Source organism: Homo sapiens, chromosome 8 (assembly GCF_000001405.40).
Source record: "Homo sapiens chromosome 8, GRCh38.p14 Primary Assembly".
Taxonomy (NCBI): Eukaryota; Metazoa; Chordata; class Mammalia; order Primates; family Hominidae; genus Homo; species Homo sapiens.
Genome location: NC_000008.11, coordinates 143,157,408 through 143,174,913, shown reverse-complemented (window position 1 = coordinate 143,174,913; position 17,506 = coordinate 143,157,408). Strand labels below are relative to the sequence as shown.

Genomic DNA, 17,506 nt, shown 5'->3' with positions numbered 1-17,506 from the left:
CATTACTTCCTTTGGTAGTACCAGTTATTGCCACATCTTTGGCCTTAACTTCTGGTCTAACTTTGTTTAAAATGTTAACTGATTTTTTTTGCTCTCTCATTTACAGCAATTCCATGTTTGTGTGATACTTGTGCAAGGGTTTCAGCCAGTTTGGGAACAAAATCCAAAATTGGGCCCAAATGCCCAACCATTGTGACTGGGTCAGGTCAGCTACACCCTTTACAAGCAAGCACAAGGCTGCTGGATCCACGGATACCCACCTAACTACCTAGGGACAGAGAGCCAGGACCCCCAGTAGGCAGGGACAGTCAAAAAAAAAAAAGATTTATGGGGATCATGTCTCTCAGTGGGAAATGAGGCAGGAGGATAGGGAATTAGGGTCGCCACGGGTTAAGGCATAAGTGAAAGAGGAGCAGGTGCAGCCAGTTCCAGGCAAGACGAGGCAGCACACGGGCCACATCCGCTCTTGGGATGACGAGACGGAAGTCTCCACTTCAGACTCTTGACTGATTGATCACAGCGCAGGCCAATCCTTCATGAGACGTAACCTGCTGGAGGTCTCCAAAGGGCACCTAGGGGTGTTACCAAATTCCTTCAGCTTCATAAGAACCCTAAAGAACACTGCAGTTGGGCTCGTGAGCCGCTTGCTCGAGCCGCTCCCAGCCGCGGAGTGCACTTGCGCGTCAATGAATCTGCGCTTTCGTTGCTTCTTTTGATGCTTTGTTCTTTCGTTGTTTTGTTTGTGCGTTTTGTTCAGTTCTTTGTTCAACACGCCAAGAACCGGGACAACTCACAGTCAAGACCTCCCCTCCAATAACAGAATGTCAGACTCCAGAGCAGGAAGTGTGTGGGATGGCCTGGGAGTGCTCAGGGCCGTTGCAGCTCAGCACCACGTGTCTGCGTGAGGTGCGCAGCTGGTCTGTGCACGTGCTGTGGGAGTATGAGGTGGGACAGCTGCTCTGGAAAAAGTCTGGCCATTTCTTTCTTTCTCTCTCTTCCCTCCCTCCATCCCTCCCCCCCTCTCTCTGTCTCTCTTTTCTTTTCTTTTCTTTTCCCTTCTTCCTTCCTTTCTTTCCTTCCTTCCTTCTTTCTTTCTTAGATGGAGTTTCACTCTCATCACCCAGGCTGGAGTGCAGTGGCACAATCTCGGCTCAAGTGATTCTCCTGCCCCAGCCGCCTGAGTAGTTGGGATTACAGGTGTGTCACCACGCCTGGCTAATTTTTGTATTTTTAGTAGAGACGAGGTTTTACCATGTTGGCCAGGCTGGTCTCGAACTCCTGACCTCAGGTGATCTGCCCACCTCGGCCTCCCAAAGTGCTGGGATTACGGGCGTGAGCCACCGCGCCTGGCCTGGCAATTTCTTAGAGAACGATTTACTTGACCTTTGGACACAGCAACTCTGGACACGGCAACTCTGTACCCCAATATTTACCCAAGAGAATGCGGGACTCAGGAATGTACCCGAGCCAAACACGGCACACAGCCCAGGGTCGGCCAACAAGGAAGTGGATAAGCAAACGTTGTAACGCTCATGCGTGGAACGCTCACGCGTGGGATGCCACTCAGCCATGCAAGGGAACAAACTGCCAGGACCCTGGCCGCACGCATCACAAGGAGCCTGCAGGAAAGGATATGGACCACATGGTTTGACTTATGTGACGTTCTAGAGCAGGCCAAAGTAACCTATGGTTTTAAAAGTTTCAGAACAGTTGTTGTCTTTGCAGAAGGGAGGAGATGGGGTTTCACTGGAGCTGGGCAGGGTAGGATGTGGGTTGGGGGATTAGTAATGTCTATATTTTGTTAGGGGTTTGGGTTACACGGGTGTATGCATTTGTCAGAACTATGGAATGGCACCCTCAAGGTGCATGCATTTCACTGAATGTGGTTTCACCTCTAAACGTAATTGATGATATGTTAGGTAGTTATGAAGTGTAAGCTAGAGTCTCTGTGGGAAGCGTGCAGGTGGCTACAGCTTACTTTGAAGTCCATCAAGAATAGGAGATGGGTTGGGGTGAATATATGATAAAGCAAATGTAACAACATATGAATTGTAGGATCCAGGTGCCAGGTATACGGGTGTTCATTGTAAACTTCTTTCCATTTGTCCTGTGTTCTTGAAATTGTTCATAATGTGTTGGGAGAAGCCACAGGGTCATGTCAGAGGACACAGGAGTCAGCCTGAAGAGGACCCAGTGCCAGAGGTGATGGCTGGGGCCCCTGGGGATGCTGTGAGAGCTCTCCACAAACTTTGTGGCTTAAAACATCAGAAATGTATTCTTTTTTTTTTTTTTGAGACGGAGTCTCGCTCTGTTATCCAGGCTGGAGTGCAGTGGCACGATCTCCGCTCACTGCAAGCTCCAACCTCCTGGGTTCACACCATTCTCCTGCCTCAGCCTCCCGAGTAGCTGGGACTACAGGCGCCCGCCACCACGCCCAGCTAATTTTTTTGTATTTTTAGTAGAGACGGGGTTTCACCGTGTTAGCCAGGATGGTCTCGATCTCCTGAGCTCGTGATCCACCCGCCTCGGCCTCCCAAAGTGCTGGGATTACAGGCGTGAGCCACCGCGCCCGGCCCAGAAATGTATTCTTTTGTGGTTTTGGAGGCCAGAAGTTTGAAGTCAAGGTTTCAGCAGGACTTCATTTGCTCTGAAGGGTCTCGGGCAGGATCCTCCTCTGACTTCCAGCTTCTGTGGCTTGAAGGGTTCCTTGGCCTGTGGCCATGACTCCAATCTGCTCTGGGGTCACGTGGCCTCCTCCTCTGTGCTCCTCTCCTCTTCTCTCTCTTGTAAGGACCCTTGTCACTGGATTTAGGACCCAGCCCAAATGCAGGATGATCTTGAGATCCTTAATTATATCTGCAAAGACCCCTTTTTCCGTAAGGCCGCATTCGCGGGTCCTGGGAGCTGGGCCATGAACGTCTCCGTGGGGCCCCACACTGCACACTGTCTCCCCCACTGTCCTGGAAGCCCTCGGGGATCAGGGGCTTCTCTCCTTATCTGAGCACCACAGCTCCTCAGCAAATGCTTATTGTGTGCATGAGAGTGTCTCTGTCCTACCCTAGCAGACCCTCTGGAGGGTAGGGCCTGTCTTTTGGGAAATGCCTTCTTCTCTGTAACTCAGGTGCAAGCCCTCGGGACAGGTGCATCTTCTCTGAGACTCGCCCGGGTCCCACCTCCAGCAGCTCGGAGGGTGCTGACAGTGGTGGCTAAAACTCAAGACAGGGAGCTGTGCGGCACCTCTCTGGTGGGCCCGCCCCCACGCCTCCACCACGGCCTGTCCCCTCTGCATCTGTCGGCCTCAGTGCTTCCAGATGCCTGAAGCAAAAGGCCCAAGAGCAGCGGCCTCTGACACTGCCCCTGGTTCTGGTCCTGCCTCGCCTCTGGGAGGTGGTTCTGCGGTGTGAACAGCTGGTGCGCCAATCACTGCCAGACCTTGAGCATAGAAAGGAGGCTTGGGCCACGGTTGCAGGATGCTTGTTGAAGTATCCCCAGACAGCGTGTCCAGGCAGCCCCATCACCCTGTCGCTGCCCTACGTCCCCGGAAACAGGCATCTGGGCCGGGTTAGACTGGGAGGAGGAAGGTGCGGCCCCTGTCCCCAGCTCCCTGCAGGGCTGTGCAAACTGAAAGGGCCAGGGCCACACCTTGACATTGGTTTGCTCTGTGTCATTAAAGACCTTTCTTCTGCTAATCATGACCACGGTTGTTATTCTTATTTGCAAAAATCCTGATAGGGTGAAACCGACCCACGTGCATGGGGAGGACGGCAGAGTAGCCTGGAAACCGGGTTAGGAATCTCCGTCTCCCTGGCAACCGAGCCCAGTGTGGGGAGAGCCGGGTCTCTGCTCCAAGAGCAGCCCAGAGCCAGGTCTCGCCTCTGGCATTTGTAGGCTCTGCCCCTGCTTAGACATGACTCTCTGGGTGTCCTGGCACCCCTTGCCCCATCCCAGGTTATGCACAAGCCAGGCCCTACCCACCTGTGCTGTCTTTTACTGTGTGGCAAATTGCCCCCAAACACAGGGACTTAAAACAACACAGTTTATTCTCTCAGTGTCTGTGGGGCGGGAATCCAGGCTCTGTGGTGGCTCTGGCTTACCGTCTCTCGTGGGTTGTACCGAGCCTTTGGGTTGGGGCTGCAGGCTCATCTGAAGGCTCAGCTTAGGGGATCTGCTCCCCAGCTCACTTGCACAGCTGTTGACTCAGCCCCTCATCGCTGTCACCTGGGCTTGTCCACAGGGCTTCCTCCCAGCACAGCAGCCAGCACCCCCCAGGATGCCAGAGAGCCAGAGAGCACAGCGAAGACAGAGCCACAGGCTTTGTAACCGGATCTCGGGAGCCACATCCCGTCACTCTGCTGTGCCAGCTTCATCAGAAGTAAGTTGGCAGGAGCAGCCTGTGTGAAAGGGGAGGGGAGTCCCTGAGGGTGAGAGCCGCAGGGGCGTGGAGCACTGGGGGCCCCTGGAGCCTGTCCACCATCCCACAGACCTAGGCACTGGAAGGTAGGGCCTGCCTTGCTCGAGGCCTGGCAGGGAACTTTCAAGTCTCTGAAGGGTAACTTGGCAGAGATTCCTATTCTAGGAGTAGACTGGCTGTGGTCAGCAGGGACCACCACTGAGTGCCACCCACAGCCCCTCCACTCTTGTACAGGGACACCTACTGAGTGCCACCCACAGTCCCCCACTCTTATACAGGGACTCTGGGTCCAGCTAAGAGACGCAGAGGCCAGCCTTGTGCCAGGGCACCTGTGCTTGTCCGCTGCCCCATGGCAAAGGCAGTGTGAAATTTGAAACGGACACATCAAACACAGGCGAGCACGGCTGGACCCAAATACCACCCCGCCTCAAACACTTCCCTGGCCCCTGTGGCCTTTAGTATAAAATCTTGCCCCTTTCCCAGCACACAGCCTGAGCCATCTCTGCCACTGCTGTGACCTCAGCTGCCCCCCGTCCTCCATCCCCCTTAGCCCGCCCTCACTCAGCTCCATCCCCTGCTCTCTCCTCCCTCCAGAACCCGCAGAGTCCTCAGGCCTGGCTCAGTGTCCCCCAGGAGGGGCCTTGTCTGACCACGTCTCTGACCAGGTCTCTCACTGCCTCACCCATCCCTGCAGCCCCTTTCCAGGGGACGGAGCCAGGTGCCTCGTGCTGGCTCATGGTCAGGTGGCAGGGAGAGGTCCACGGTTAGGCTGACTGTCCGTGTGTGAGGTTCTGAGAGGGATGGGACATTCGGGGAGGATGCAGGGGCCTGAGACCTGACCCTCACTGTGTGCCCAGGCCACCGGAGGGCATGCTGGGGACTGTTCAGTGCATAAGGACAGGCTGGGAGGAGCTCCCTGTGTCCTGGCTCTGGAGGGGAGGACGTTGCAGAGGGAGGAACTGCATGAGCCAGGGTTGAGAGGGAGGAAGGTGTGGGGTAGGGGGTGGTGGAGATACAGGAGGAAGTGGCAGGTGTGGGAGCAGGTGTGAGACTGTGGCTGGTCCTGGTAAAACTTCCTCTTCAGGCCTCTTCCTTTATGGCCTTGACCCTGGACCCAGGGAGGGTAAGCAGTAGGATGATGGGCAGGAATGGAACCGGGAGAGGCGTCAGTGCAGCCAGGGGCTCTGCGTCGGGACCTGCCCCGGCTGCCGGTGACAGCAACGTCCACAAGATACCCACCTGTAAGGAGCCGACGGTCCCTGGTGGGACAAGATCCACATGGAGGGGCTGCACCCCTGTGGCCTCCCAGAGCCCCGGTGTCCCCTCATGCTCCTGTGCTCCCCAGAGCCCCTGTGCCCTCCACACACCTGATCTGGGGGTCAGAGGGAACACTTAGGCCGAGAGGAGAAGCTGAGAAGGAGTTAGAGGGGTGCAGGGTGAGGTGGGGTTGGGGGAGGGAAGAGGGAGTGCTTTGGAAGCAGGAGGCTCAGTGGGATTTTGCTGGAGGATACCTGTGGGCCCTGCCTGGGAAGAGGTGGCTCTGGGACCCTTGGGAGTGGCTTGGCTAAAGGGGAGGGAGGTGGCTTGGCAGGAACAAGAGGAGTGGAGATGGGAAGGGCCCAGAGTGTGAACCCTTGCTGGGATTCCAGCCAACCTATGTGGATGACGGAGAGCACCCTAGCCTGAGGGCAGCCCTGAGACTCAGCCCTGCGTGGTCAGTGTCACATGGGGAGGCTCACAGTTGTGGTGGGCGTCAGGCACCGATCTCAGGGCCTGACTTGTGCTGTACCCTTGGCAAGAAGAGCCCTTGCCATCTGCTACTCAAGGCAGGACCCCATGGCCAGCGCCTCCAGGAGTGGGCCTGGGGACCTCTTTCTTTCCCTCTCCACTTCTTCCTTAGATGACCTTCCTTCCTTTCTCCACTTCCTCTCTAGACGACCTTCCTTCCCCTCTCCACTTCCTCCCTAGACGACCTTCCTTCCCCTCTCCACTTCCTCCCTAGACGACCTTCCTTCCCCTCCCCACTTTCTCCCTAGACGATCTTCCTTCCCCTCTCCACTTCCTCCCTAGACGACCTTCCTTCCCCTTCTCCACTTCCTCCCTAGACGACCTTCCTTCCCCTCCCCACGTCCTCCCTAGATGACCTTCCTTCCCCTCCCCACGTCCTCCCTAGACGACCTTCCTTCCCCTCCCCACTTCCTCCCTAGACGACCTTCCTTCCCCTCTCCACTTCCTCCCTAGACGATCTTCCTTCCCCTCCCCACTTCCTCCCTAGACGACCTTCCTTCCCCTCCCCACGTCCTCCCTAGATGACCTTCCTTCCCCTCCCCACTTCCTCCCTAGACGATCTTCCTTCCCCTCCCCACTTCCTCCCCAGACGATCTTCCTTCCCCTCCCCACTTCCTCCCTAGATGACCTTCCTTCCCCTCCCCACGTCCTCCCTAGATGACCTTCCTTCCCCTCCCCACTTCCTCCCTAGACGACCTTCCTTCCCCTCTCCACTTCCTCCCTAGACGATCTTCCTTCCCCTCCCCACTTCCTCCCTAGACGACCTTCCTTCCCCTCCCCACTTCCTCCCTAGACGACCTTCCTTCCCCTCTCCACTTCCTCCCTAGACGATCTTCCTTCCCCTCCCCACTTCCTCCCTAGACGATCTTCCTTCCCCTCCCCACTTCCTCCCTAGACGACCTTCCTTCCCCTCCCCACTTCCTCCCTAGACGATCTTCCTTCCCCTCCCCACTTCCTCCCTAGACGATCTTCCTTCCCCTCCCCACTTCCTCCCTAGACGACCTTCCTTCCCCTCCCCACGTCCTCCCTAGATGACCTTCCTTCCCCTCTCCACTTCCTCCCTAGACGATCTTCCTTCCCCTCCCCACTTCCTCCCTAGACGATCTTCCTTCCCCTCCCCACTTCCTCCCTAGACGACCTTCCTTCCCCTCCCCACTTCCTCCCTAGACGACCTTCCTTCCCCTCTCCACTTCCTCCCTAGACGATCTTCCTTCCCCTCCCCACTTCCTCCCTAGACGATCTTCCTTCCCCTCCCCACTTCCTCCCTAGATGACCTTCCTTCCCCTCCCCACGTCCTCCCTAGACGACCTTCCTTCCCCTCCCCACTTCCTCCCTAGATGACCTTCCTTCCCCTCCCCACTTCCTCCCTAGACGACCTTCCTTCCCCTCCCCACTTCCTCCCTAGACGACCTTCCTTCCCCTCCCCACTTCCTCCCTAGATGACCTTCCTTCCCCTCTCCACTTCCTCCCTAGACGACCTTCCTTCCCCTTCTCCACTTCCTCCCTAGACGACCTTCCTTCCCTCTCCACTTCCTCCCTAGACGACCTTCCTTCCCTCCCCACTTTCTCCCTAGACGACCTTCCTTCCCCTCTCCACTTCCTCCCTAGACGACCTTCCTTCCCCTCCCCACGTCCTCCCTAGATGACCTTCCTTCCCCTCCCCACTTTCTCCCTAGACGATCTTCCTTCCCCTCTCCACTTCCTCCCTAGACGACCTTCCTTCCCCTCCCCACGTCCTCCCTAGATGACCTTCCTTCCCCTCCCCACTTCCTCCCTAGACGACCTTCCTTCCCTCTCCACTTCCTCCCTAGACAACCTTCCTTCCCCTCTCCACTTCCTCCCTAGACGACCTTCCTTCCCCTCTCCACTTCCTCCCTAGACGACCTTCCTTCCCCTCCCCACGTCCTCCCTAGATGACCTTCCTTCCCCTCTCCACTTCCTCCCTAGATGACCTTCCTTCCCCTCTCCACTTCCTCCCTAGACGACCTTCCTTCCCTCTCCACTTCCTCCCTAGACGACCTTCCTTCCCCTCCCCACTTCCTCCCTAGATGACCTTCCTTCCCCTCCCCACGTCCTCCCTAGATGACCTTCCTTCCCCTCTCCACTTCCTAGACGACTGTGTCTGCTCTCTTCCTTGTGCTAGCAATGCCCACGTCTGTCTCCAGGCAAGGCTTCTCTTCTGCAACCCTGATGTCCTTGAGTTCTCTTGCTGGAGGCCTCCCAGGCATCTCTGACTTAAGAAAGTGCTTCACACACCTCTCTAGTGACCATTCCTCCCAGCCCCACACCCTCGGCCCATCTGCATCCCCAGCTCCCGGCCCAGGAGGCAGGCATCCTGCACAGAGACATCACCAAGCCTTGCAAGCCCACCCACTTCCATGGCCATTTCCACGGCCATTGCCCTGGTCCCAGCCACGTCCTCCTCACCAGCTTCCCTGTTCTGTTCTAGAACCTTCCAGTCCATTCTCCATAAGGCAGTCAGAGGATCTTCTGAGATGTCGATCAATAGCATCCATCCCTCTCTTCAACCCTTTGCGTTTCCCATTTCTGCAGACGTCTTTGATCGTGTACCTCAAAGCCATTCCCAAGCTTTTCTCTCTGGCCAGTCGTCTTTTGATATGGAGGGCAGGACCAGGAGGGTGGAAGGAAAGGGGCCCAGAGCCGCAACTCCCTGAGTGGCTGGCAAGCCCTCTGCTGTAGGGCCCTCCTTGCATTGATCAGAGAACAGAACCAATGGGATGCACACGTGCAGAGAGGTTTTTGAAAATTGGCTTCCAGGATGAAGGAGGCTGGCAAGTCTAAAACCTGCAGGGCCAGCAGGCTGGAAACCCAGGAAGAGCTGACGTGCCGTTCGAGTCCAAGGACTCTGCCGCAGGGAGGCCAGTCTTTCATTCTATCCAGGCCTTCTGCCGAATGGATGAAGCCCGCCATGGCGGAAAGCAGCCTGCCTTCTCAAAGGTCCACTCATGTAATTTTTTTTTTTTTTTTTTTGTGAGATGGAGTCTCGCTCTGTCACCCAGGCTGGAGGGCAGTGGTGCAATCTCGGCTCACTGTAACCTCCACCTCCCGGGTTCAAGCAATTCTCCTGCCTCAGCCTCCTGAGTAGCTGGGATTACAGGTGCACATCACCATGCCTGCCTAATTTTTTTTTTTTTTTTTTTGAGACAGAGGCTGGAGTGCAGCGGCGCGATCTCCGCTCACTGCAAGCTCTGCCTCCCGGGTTCATGCCATTCTCCTACCTCAGCCTCCCAAGTAGCTGGGACTACAAGCGCCCACGACAATGCCCGGCTATTTTTTTTTGTATTTTTAGTAGAGACAGGGTTTCACTGTGTTAGCCAGGATGGTCTCGATATCCTGACCTCGTGATCCGCTCACCTTAGCCTCCCAAAGTGCTGGGATTACAGGCATGAGCCACCGTGCATGCCCCGCTAATTTTTGTATTTTTAGTAGAGATGGGGTTTTGCCATGTTGGCCAGGCTGGTCTCAAACTCCTGACCTCAAGTGATCTCCCCCGCCTTGGCGTCTCAAAGTGCTGGGATTACAGGTGTGAGCCACCGCGCCTGGCCAGGTACTTTTTTTTTGAGACAGGGTCTTGCTCTGTTTCTCAGGCTGGAGTGCAGTGGTGCGATCACAGCTCACTGCATCCTCAACCTCCTAGGCTCAAGCAGTCTTCCCACCTCAGCCTCCTGAGTAGCTGAGACTACAGGTGTGCACCACCACACCCAGCTAATTTTAAAATTTTTAGTAGAGATGGAGTCTCCCTATGTTTCCCAGGCTGGTCTCAAACTCCTGGTCTCAAGTGATCCTTTCACCTAGGCCTCCCAAAGTGCTGGGATTGCAGGTGTGAGCCACCATACCTGGCCCTAACCTTCTCTCTGTGACAAATTTTCTCCTTGAAGTGCAGTCTTTAGGGAAGGACTGTTAGTGGTAAGCTCTCTCAATGTCTCTGATTTTTATTCATCTGAAAAAAATTATCTAAAGTTAAAAAAAGTTTGACACATAATAATTATACATATTTATGGGGTACAACGTGATGTTTTGATATATGTATACATTATATAATGATTAAATTAAGCTAATTAACATATTCATCACCTCGCACACGTATCATTTTTTTTTGTGGCCAGTGTTTGTTTAGCTGCTAGAGAAAAAGAAAAATCCTTATGGTTAGAACATAGTTTATTCTTTAAGTTTAGGGGTGTGTGACTTAATCCTTGCCTGCCACAGCCTTAGGTCTTATTTATAATTTGGAATATCATTGCCACAAAGAGTGCATCCCATCAGTTTCATAATCTTTATTTTAACACTTTATAGATCTACATCTATCTAATATTTTTATTTTTAAATTATTTATTTATTTATTTATTTTTGAGACAGTCTCACTCTGTCGCCCAGGCTGAAGTGCAGTGGCGTGATCTTGGCTCACTGCAACCTCTGCCTCCCGGGTTCAAGTGATTCTTCTACCTTAGCCTCCCTAGTAGCTGGGATTACAGGTGCACGTGCCACCACACCTGGCTAATTTTTGTATTTTTTGTAGAGACAGGGTTTCGCCATGTTGGCCAGGCTGTTCTTGAACTCCTGACCTCAGGTGATCCCCCCGCCTCAGCCCCACAAAGTACTGGGATTACAGGTGTGAGCCACCGAGCCTGGCTTATATCTATCTAATCTATCTCTCTTTCTCTCTGTCACTTTTTCTTTTTTCCATTCATCTGCTGATGGACACAAGTGGATTCCATGTCTTGGCTGTTAGGAATAATGCTGCAATGGATATGGGCATGCAGGCCTCTCTTCAAGATACTGATTTCTATTTATCTGGCTATATACCCAGAACTGGAAGTGCTGGGTGGCAAGGTAGCTCCATGTTCAATTGTTTCAGGAACTTCCATACTGCTTTTCCTAATGGCTGCACTAATTTACATTCCCACCAACAGTGCACAACGGTTCTCTTCTCCACATCCTCACCAAAAATTGTTATCTCTGTCTTTTTGATGGCAGGCATTCTAATAGGCAGGAGGTGATCTCTCCTTGTGATTTTAATTTGCATTTCCCTGATGATTATAATGCTGAACATTTTTCCATACACCTGATGGCATTGTATGCCCTCTTTTGAGAAAGGTTTATTCTGCTTCTGGCTCATTTTTTAATTGGCCTATTTGTTTTCCTGCTATTGAGTTGTTTTCTAAACTTTTAATTTTCTGAAAATTCTATTTTACACTTATTTTTGGAAAATATATCAAGTTCTTAGTGACAGTTATTTCCCTCTGAGCCCTTTACAGATCCGATTTTCCTCTCCTTTGGCTGTCACTGGGGCTCCTGGAATTCTGCTGGCAATCTTATTGCTGTTTCCTGGGAGCTGATCTTCCTTTTCTTTTTGGCTGGCTTAAAGGTCTTCTGCAATTTCACTCTGTCATCTAAACTTTATTTTTCTTTATTCTATTTAGTCCATGTTGTGCCTCTCTGTGCATACTTATTTTTTATCAGTTCTGAAATATTCTCAGGCATAACTTCTTCAATGATTGACTCTCTTTCCTTTGAGATTTCAACCAGACTTCCATAAGCTCTCTGCACACCATCTTTTTGTTTTATTTTATTTTAGTTTTTTCTTTTCTTCTTTTCTTGCTCAGACTTAAGTGGGCATCAGGAAAACACCATCTTTTATGTTTCTTATTTTCCCTATTTTCTATTTCCTTATCCTTTGTGCTACATTCTTGGTAATTTTTTAAAGATTTATCTTCTAGTTTATGAATTCCCTCTTCAGTTGTGTTTAATTTGCTGCGTAATCTGTTTGCTGAGTATTTTTTTAAACACCTTTATTGAGATATCATTCACATACCATAGCATTTACCCTTTTAAATATACAAGCCAGGGGTCTGTAGTATATTCATAGAGTTGTGTGACCATAATCACTATTTTTAGAACATTTTCATCACTCCTAAATGAGTGCTTTTATCACTTTATTTATTAGTAGTGCCTATTACCAGTCCCTAAGGAGGACTGATTCCCCTATCCCACCCTTCTAGCACAAGGCAACCACTAAGCTACCTTCTGTCTCTCTTGGATTGTTTATTCCGGACATTTCATAAAAAGAAAACCACACAATGTGTTTTCTTGTGACTGGCTTCTTTCAGTTACCGTAATTCTTTCAAGGTTTCTGCTGACCTTTTCATTTCAATGAAAAGTTTTTCATTTCTAGAGGTTCTATTTTTTTCTGATAAGCATGGTGATTGGTTTCATAGTGCTTTGTTCCTTATTTTAATATATCTTAAGCATAACAAATAGGTTAATTTTATATCCTATATTTGATATTTTCCATTTAGAAAGTTTGTGGTGATTTAAATCTGTTGCTCGTCACTGTCAGCTGAGTCTCACTTGGAGGCTTGCTTTCTTTAGACATGTGCTGATTTTTCATTTTGAACTCATATTTGATTCAGTTAAATCTGTGGGAACCTCAGTCCCTAAGTTGGGGCTTGCTTTCTCCAGAGTATTCATCGTTGGTTTTGCTTTTGCAAGCAGGGATGCTACTGACCTGGGACCACCCTGGCTCCCCGGAGGGCTCTGTGTGGGTGCCAAGTGGAGGGTGCAGGAGAAAGCATCCCTCGGGGCAGCCCTCAATCAATGACTCTTGGGTGTCGCTGTGAAATACCTGTTCCCTCATCCCTTGGGTGAGTTCACCTGAGGCTCACAGTTTACACCACTTCCCAGAGTACCTCTCTGGGGTCAGGCTCCATTTCCCCACTGCGGGGGGTTGCTGAGTACCACATGCTTGCCAGCCTCCTTCCCCACCCTGGACCACTTCCCCACTCCCCAGGGCTGCTATCCCCACCTCCAACCAAAGGGCTTGCTCTGGAATCCCTGCCTCAGGCTCTGCTTCCGGGACCTCAGACCCCGTGGGGGTCCAGGTCTGCCCAGGACCACTGTGAGTTTCACATCTGCCTCCTGCTCAGTGGGCAGACTTTGGGAGTCCATTATTCTATTTACTTCTTTCTTTATGGACTCAGATTTCTTTTACTTTCTTGCGAGCTCTGTATGTTTTGAAAAGAATTGTGTTTGAACCTTGATCTAGCTCTTGCCCTCTGCACCTTATGAATCTCAACTCCTCATTCAGTTCTCGGCTAAAGTATCAGGTCCTGGGAGAAGCTCTCCCTGACCCTGAGGCAAAGCACGCTCCTGTGGTGGTCTCTTGTCCATCTCGTCCTTGCCTCCACCCCTCTGGAGCCACAATGGAGCGGAGGTGTGCAGTCCCTGTAGCCCAAGCTGCTTGGGTTCCCACTTCAGCTGGGTCACCTGTCACCTGCGTCACTGTGTGACCCCGAGCAGGGAGCGCCGCCTTTCCGTGTGAGTCTCCTCATCTGTGAGATGGAAATGATACTATCTGCACAGCAGGGCTGTGGTGAGACTATAAGGAGATAATAAATATGAAGTGTCTAGAACAGGTGGAATCCATAGTACATGCTCAATAAATGTTAGCTCTGTCACATCCTGCAAAGATATGCTGCAGTAGGCATCACCATTTGTCCAAGGGGAGAGTCAGGAGGGCAGAAACCAGGTCTCTCTCCTCATGCCCTTTCCCAGGGCTCAGGGCAGGGCTAGGGCAGCAGGGAGCATGCAGTAAACATTTTCAGGTCAAATGAAAGGGAGCAGGACCAAAGGCACGATGGCAGATCGGGGCTTCCCCAGTGCCCCGGGGAGGCGGATTTCAGGCACAGGGACACGTGCAAAGGCACAGCTTTTAGGGAGCTGGAGGGCAGGGCGGGAAGGCCAAGGAAGCCGAGAAACGGGTCCAAGGCTCGGATGCTCTGGCCAGGATTTGTACCTTTACCTCCGAGTGTGGGAGTATTTGGCGACAGAAGCCCCTGGGGCTGCGGCTTCTGGTGGGGGTCTTCATGGATGCTCAGGGGAGGAGAACGGCCTGGAGCCACTGGAAACGGGGAAACGGGGAAACGGGTATGAGGTTGGGGAGGGGCGGGGAGGAGGGGGAGGGCGGGGCCCCAGGGCGGGAGTCTGACCCCAGGGGTCTGCGAACCCGGACCTGCGCGTGGCGCCGCGCCGGGTACCTCCCCCTCTCTGCGTCTTTGTGCATTTTGCTTCCTTTCGCAGTAAACGTTCTTCCGAGAAATTCCAAGGGGATCTCAGCCAAGCAGAGGGGGAAGGGATCCTGCCCACGCCTGGGTAGGGGGCCGCGGAGGCTGGGGAGGAGCAGGGGGCGCCGCGAGGGAGGGAGCGGGAACCCGAGGGAGCGCGCGCGCCAGCAAGGGGGCGCGGAGGGCCCGGGCCAGCTACCTGCGTGGGGGCCGCGAGCCCCGGGCGCCCCCCGCCCCGCGCGTCTCCCAGCCGCCCCCGCCCCCCGCGCGGCCCCCGCCCCGGCTCCGCCCCGCCCCTCGCGCGGGGTCCGCGTCTGCGGCTGCGTTCCCCGAAAGACGAGGCTGCGCCCGGATTCCGGTCCGCAGGGAGACCGAAGGGCACAGCTCCCCGCGCCGCGCACGCCGCCCGAGCCCGGAGTGCGGACACCCCCGGGATGTGAGTGAGCCCCCCGACCCCGAGGCCCGCGCTCCACGCCCCATCCGCGGTGAGCGCCGAGGCGCGCGCGGAAGGCCAAGGGAGGGGACTCGGCCCGGGGTTCCCGGCCCCCCAGCCCAGGGGTGGGGGTGGGGACCTGGCACGCGCCCCTCCCCCCAGTGGCAGGTCCCACCCGCTCCCGCCCCTGCCGCTCATTCCTGTCCGGACGCACCTGCAGCTCCCCGGGGAGAAGAGGACGCCCCCCATCCGCTCCCCCACACAGGTGCCGGCGCGGGGCGGAGGCGTCTCGAGCTGTCACCTCGCCCCAGAGGCCAGACGTCTCCCGGCGGGGATGCTGTGACGGCGGACGCTCTGGAGAAGGGGCTGGGGGTGGGGCTCTGCGAGCTCCGGGCGGACCCCGGCCTTGGATTCCGGGGAGAAGGTTGCATCCTGAGGCTGGGAAAGGAGAGGGTCTTTGGGGTCTCCTGACCGATGCTTCTCCCCTCCAGGCTTGCGCCCCAGAGGACCCGCGCCCCAAGCCCCCGCGCCGCCCCCAGGCCCACCCGGAGCATGCTGCCTGCAGCCATGAAGGGCCTCGGCCTGGCGCTGCTGGCCGTCCTGCTGTGCTCGGCGCCCGGTGAGTAGGGGGCCCGCGGGCTGGGTCAGGTGCCTGGGAGAGCCCGAGGCGCCGCGGGAGAGCCGGGTGTGGGGCTGCCACCCTCTGACGGTTCCCACCGCACTTCGCATAGAGCCCACGCCCCCTCCGGGACCCCTGCGACCCCAGCCCGGCCCTCGGCCCCTCTGCCCCGGCACTGGGCTCTCTCCAGCGCTCTTCCTCCAGGGCCTGGAACTGGTGGGCGGCTGGCCCCGCACGGAAGCCCTTGGTCATCCGTCACCTCTGAGAGCCTCCCGGGCCTCCTTTCAAATCCAGTTTGGTCCTTCACAGCTTGGAACCCACGGACCTCTGGGGGGGATATGTGAGGCGGGGCGGGAGTGTGAGGGGGGCACTGTCGGTGTGGGGTCTGTATAGCCCGTGTGTGTGTTTGTGTGTGTGTGTGCACGCACGTGCATGGGGGCCAGGGAGGGGCCATAGGGGCTCCCCTCAAACTGCCAGGATGGGGCACAGTTGTCCCAGGGCCTCTGCTCCCCCTCCAGGGGTCATGGGGGCCTGCTCCCTCCCGTGGGGTCGGGCTCTCCCAGGAGTGCCTGCAGCAGGGGGATGGGTGGGGGGCGCAGGGGGCTGCCTGGTTTGGACCCCAGTGCCTCTGGTCACCCTCCTCCCCATGCCCTGCCCAGCTCATGGCCTGTGGTGCCAGGACTGCACCCTGACCACCAACTCCAGCCATTGCACCCCAAAGCAGTGCCAGCCGTCCGACACGGTGTGTGCCAGTGTCCGAATCACCGATCCCAGCAGCAGTAAGTTGGGACTTAGGGTGGTGGGGAATGTGCTAAAAGCCAGGCTCTTGAGAGAGGTCAGAGGTGTCCTCGGAGCCCCTCTGGCCTGGGACGAGAGTGAGAGCGTGGGGCGGCAGGCAGGATACTGTCCTGCTGTCCCCCCCTGGCTCCTTGGTGGCCCTTTTCATCTAGTTGAGGCCAGCGTGGGAGGGTGGAGGGACTCGGCCCTGCCTACTGGGGCCCCGAGCTGACCCGGAGGGGCCTGGGCTGGGTCCTCGGGATGAGGCAGAGAGGGCCCAGGAGGAGCCCCCGTCCCAGGCCACGCTTTCTCTTCCCAGGCAGGAAGGATCACTCGGTGAACAAGATGTGTGCCTCCTCCTGTGACTTCGTTAAGCGACACTTTTTCTCAGACTATCTGATGGGGTTTATTAACTCTGGGATCTTAAAGGTCGACGTGGACTGCTGCGAGAAGGATTTGTGCAATGGGGCGGCAGGGGCAGGGCACAGCCCCTGGGCCCTGGCCGGGGGGCTCCTGCTCAGCCTGGGGCCTGCCCTCCTCTGGGCTGGGCCCTGATGTCTCCTCCTTCCCACGGGGCTTCTGAGCTTGCTCCCCTGAGCCTGTGGCTGCCCTCTCCCCAGCCTGGCGTGGCTGGGGCTGGGGGCAGCCTTGGCCCAGCTCCGTGGCTGTGGCCTGTGGCTCTCACTCCTCCCCCGACGTGAAGCCTCCCTGTCTCTCCGCCAGCTCTGAGTCCCAGGCAGCTGGACATCTCCAGGAAACCAGGCCATCTGGGCAGGAGGCCTGGGGATGAGGGTGGGGGGGGACCCCCAGGTCCCGGAGGGGAAGTGAAGCAACAGCCCAGCTGGAAGGGCGTCTTCTGCGGAGAAATAAAGTCACTTTTGAGTCCTGAGACCCGGGTCTGAGCCTGGGTGTCGGGGGCGGGAAAGGGTTCCTGGCAGAGAGCTGGGAATGAGGTGCTGAGGGAGCGGAGGGGCTGGGGGCAGGGCGGGCGCTCAGCCAGGATCTTGGGCTCTTGGGCTCAGGGCACTGGGGTGCTGGGTGGTTGTGCTGGGGCTGCTTGGTCCTGGTGAGGTTTAGGAGCACTTGGGGTGATGGGGTGAGAGCTGAGATGAGCAAGATCACAGGGTGGGCTTGGGGGGAGGTACCGGAATCCTGTGAGCACACCACAGACACCAGACACGCCCACAAACAGTGGTGCCCACGCAGCCAGCATGTGCACACACACTCATGCCCAGACAAGCATACAAACGGTGCCCACGCAGCCAGCATGTGCACACACACCCGTGCCCGCCCTGCTCCTTCACACACACACACCCCAGGTGCCCCGCGCACACGTGCTGGGGCATGCACATAACTGGCACAAACTGGCGTGTCCCAGTGCACGTGCCCACACCCAC

At 55.7% G+C, this 17,506-nt stretch overlaps 1 protein-coding gene and 1 long non-coding RNA gene across 6 annotated transcripts, besides 1 other annotated feature; one reads left to right on the top strand and one right to left on the bottom strand.

The window, feature by feature from the left end:
- Positions 565-736: a silencer, noted in NCBI's record as "fragment chr8:144255595-144255766 (GRCh37/hg19 assembly coordinates)". NCBI's record gives its function as "represses an EF-1alpha promoter that drives an FKBP-Casp9 reporter gene in an ReSE screen in HepG2 liver carcinoma cells {active_cell/tissue: HepG2}" and the evidence as "EXISTENCE:reporter gene assay evidence [ECO:0000049][PMID:32094911]".
- LOC124902035 (uncharacterized) lies at positions 11,993-15,045 on the bottom strand. The gene is made up of 2 exons (XR_007061136.1): positions 14,928-15,045; positions 11,993-14,117 (listed from the first exon to the last, which is right to left on the bottom strand). It is a non-coding gene; the product is annotated as an uncharacterized LOC124902035 (long non-coding RNA).
- Positions 14,260-16,998, top strand: LY6H (lymphocyte antigen 6 family member H). 5 transcript variants are annotated; one of them, NM_001130478.2, is made up of 5 exons: positions 14,260-14,368; positions 14,647-14,716; positions 15,205-15,332; positions 15,992-16,111; positions 16,429-16,998. In NM_001130478.2, coding segments are annotated over exons 2-5 (486 nt in total). In that variant the 5' UTR covers positions 14,260-14,368; positions 14,647-14,714; the 3' UTR covers positions 16,665-16,998. The 5 variants fall into 5 exon arrangements, with proteins under 5 accessions (NP_001123950.1, XP_047277738.1, NP_001129127.1 ...); XM_047421782.1 differs by lacking the exon at positions 14,647-14,716; NM_001135655.2 differs by lacking the exon at positions 14,260-14,368 and having other exon boundaries at positions 14,593-14,716.
- The last annotated feature ends 508 nt before the right edge of the window (positions 16,999-17,506 follow it).